The sequence below is a fragment of the Homo sapiens genome, chromosome 10, assembly GCF_000001405.40.
Source record: "Homo sapiens chromosome 10, GRCh38.p14 Primary Assembly".
In the NCBI taxonomy this organism is placed as follows: domain Eukaryota; kingdom Metazoa; phylum Chordata; class Mammalia; order Primates; family Hominidae; genus Homo; species Homo sapiens.
The window spans coordinates 131,386,811-131,390,264 of NC_000010.11; the positions used below are offsets into that span (position 1 = coordinate 131,386,811).

General features: G+C 51.5%; 1 annotated feature.

The window, feature by feature from the left end:
• Positions 2,922-3,076: a silencer, noted in NCBI's record as "fragment chr10:133187995-133188149 (GRCh37/hg19 assembly coordinates)". NCBI's record gives its function as "represses an EF-1alpha promoter that drives an FKBP-Casp9 reporter gene in an ReSE screen in phorbol 12-myristate 13-acetate-treated (for megakaryocytic differentiation) K562 erythroleukemia cells {active_cell/tissue: K562(+PMA)}" and the evidence as "EXISTENCE:reporter gene assay evidence [ECO:0000049][PMID:32094911]".

Sequence of the window (3,454 nt, forward strand, 5' to 3'; positions counted from 1 at the left end):
CAGAGGGAGGAGCAGAGAAAGGAGAGGAGCAGAGGCATGAGTGAAGGGAGGAGTGGAGAGAGGGGCAGAGGGAGGAGCGGAGGGAGGAGTGGAAAGAAAAGCTGAGGGAGGACCAGAGGCAGGAGCAGAGGGAGGCGCAGAGGGAGGAGCAGAGGGAGGAGTGCTGGTGAAGGAGCTTCAAGGCAAAGCTGGCCCAGCACCCACCCAGCGTTAGCCCACCTGCAGCTCCCTGGGCTTCCTCAGTCGTCTCTCTTTGCCCTCACCTTTTCAAGTCTCCAGCTCCTGCCCTTAGAACAAGTATGAGGACTTGCAGGGGGCCTCTTTTTTGTGTTTTTGTTTCTAAGCGAAACCTAGCTGTGTTTTGCTGCACCTGGGTTGGCTCCCACGGTGTGCTGTGTTTTTCCCTCTTGTGATGGAAATAGCTCCTCGGCTGCAGCATAACCATGGCCCGTGGCCTGGGCCTCCCGCTGTCTCTCTTGCTCCTCTGCAGCGGCTTCCCTTGGAGACCCCGAGATCCCTGTGCACCCTCCCAGCTGTCCCCAGGGCTCCAGCTCTGCCCGGCTCCCCTCGGCCATCCCTGTGCCCACTCCCACTTCAGGGGACACTGGCTGTGTGCCAGCTGCAGTGCAGCTATCCTCATCATTGACAAACCACTGGTGCTCTGAGCACTGATATTTCTAAAAGACTTACTTTTTTAGAGAAGTTTTAGGTTTACAGCAAAATTGAACGGAAGGTGCAGAGATTTCCCATGTACCCCTCTCCTTCCTCCCAGCCTCCCCCACCATTAACAGGCACCACTGTGCTGGGTGTTACAATTAACGAGTCGGTAATGATGTATTATTATCACCTAAAGTTCATGGTTTACTGACGGCTCACTGTTGTTGGACATTCTGTAGGTTGGAACAGATGCATCATGATATGGACCCATCCTTATGGTATCACACGGAGCAGCTGCATTGCCCTAAAAGTCTCCTGTGCTCCACCCATGCCTCCCTCCCTCCCCCAACCCCTGAAACCACTGATTTTTTCCCTGCTTCCACAGTTTTGCCTTTTCCAGAATGTCCTAGAGTTGGAGTCATACAATGTGTTTTTGGTTGGCTTCTTTCCAGAATGTCCTAGAGCTGGATTCAAACAATGTTTCTGGTTGGCATCTTTCTCTTAGCAATATGCATGTAAGCTTCCTCGGTGGCTTCTCATGAATTCATAGCTTGTATCTGTGAACACTAATAACATTCCACCATCGATATGCACCACAGCTTATTCACCCATTCACCAACCCAAGGGCACCTTGGTTGCTTCCAAGCCCTGGCAATTACAAAAAAACTGCTATAACCAGCCGTGTGCAGGCTTTTGTGTGGACATAAGTTTCTAACCAACTCTGACATTTATAACAGCCAGAAACTGAGGCCACCAAGAATGGACACAGAGCCTTTGTGTGGAGGAGAAAGAGGTTCCTTTCTCAACACCCTTCAGCTTCACATATCTGAAGAGTGCCTGAACCCCCACACAGATCTGCACAGTGACCTGACTGGTGCACACTCTGGCATGGACCGTGACAAGTGCATATACCCCCAGGATCCACCTGGGCCTTATACTTTAAAACAATGCCCCTGAGCAGGCTTATCTGCAAAATCTGGGGTGAGATAATAGCCCAGAGATGAATGAAAGCCATCCGCACCTGCGAGAGAGGAGGTTCGGATCACGTTCTGAAACATCCTCAACACCTTACATCCAATGAACTGCCGTGATTTCCAGTATTAGCTTTGTAGGTTTTCTGACGAGTCTCATCAGGGGCTTGGAGGTTTTTCTAGAAGCTGTGGGGCCACATGCCATCGCAGTTTTCTGTGATGTTGGCCATGGCAAGCCCCTCTCAGATGCACAGAATGATGCCCTTGGTTGCCGTCTCCCAGATGGGGCACTCGCTTCCCCACCCCATTCTTGCCTCCCAAGCCCTGAGATCTCTCTAGGGACCATCTTGGACCCATAGGGCCTTGACTTCATCATGGGCTGCTTTCATCCTGTCCTCCTAATCCATTTCCACCCACCTGGACTCCTAAGCGCCATGGTCCTCTGGTCTAGAGTGCCAGGATCTGTGAGCTAGTGGTGACGATTTGTAGCAGGCGCCATCTCCAACCTCATGGGTGGGCTGCCACCCTGGCTTCAGCTTCCGGTGTTCCATAACCTTTTTGAAGCCCCTCACTTCCTCAGCACTGTTTCTGTCTTTTATGCTCATTCTACTGGGTTCTCTCATAAAACACAGGGCTCGTTTTGGAGAAGGCAGATCTAGCAGGCACTGTGCTTACTGAACTGAGTTTGGGTCCAATTCCCTATACCTGCCAGGCTTGGTCAGCTCATTTGACACCGCATGGCTCTTATGAGACTCGCAGAGCTCTGGGATCTTCTGGGTCTTCCAGTTTGTCCTTTCACAGCTGCATCTTTGACCTGCCCTCAGCAGCCCCTTCACGCTGTGTGTTACGGCCGTCGGGTGTGGCCTGTGCCCTTGCCTGGCCTGCCTCTCCTGGGGTCAGCAGCAAAACAACATTTTTCTAATTGGCCCCTGCACTTGAGCAAGGAGGCAGGAGGCTGGGCCACCTGCTCACGGTTCCTGGTGTCACCAAGATTTCCAGGTGCGGAGCCAGCAGCCTGGGATCAATTAGAAATGGTGATTGAAGCTGAATGTGATTAATTATATAATTTGAGTGATTCAGGTTTTAATTATACTAAAATTACATCATAAATCCAGGGCATTTGGAAGAATCCCCAACAAAACTCATCCAGGGAGGAATGCAGCCTCCACGCCAGACTCTCACCGGCATCCCGTCCCGCACTGCTCACCAAATGCACGCGTCCCCCTCACACTCACAACCACGAGGGTCCCATGTGTACGGAGGTCTCACTTAGCCACTGCTGAGCAAGTGTGGGTGCTTCATCCTGCAGCCCCTGATCAGTGTGGGGAATCCTGTGGGGACAGTATGATCACATTGTCCTTGGTAAGGCCAACAGAAGCTGTGGACACATTCCCCATTTCATCTGTGGCTGGGAGGTATAAGTTGCTTTAGGCTATGCCTTTGCATTTCATTGAGATAAACTTAATCCCAACTCCACGCAGTGATTCTTGTATCCTACACCTACACCCATAGGCTGCTTTGAAGAATAGTCATTCGACTGGATGATGGTAATTCCCATGTAATTAATTTCTGGCACACCTTGGGGATCTCTGGAAAGCAGGACATTTATTATGGCAGTGGCTCCTTATTCCTCAGAGTGTCCTCAAAACCCAGAAAACACTTGCTGACCCAGGCCCATAAATTTTCTGGGGCAGAGCTCAGACCGGCAGCGTGTGCAACCTCTCAGATACACAGAACGATGCCCTTGGTTGCCCTCTCCCAGCTGGGGCACTTGCTTCCCCATCCCATTCTTGCCTCCTGAGCCCTGAGATCTCTCTAGGGGTCAT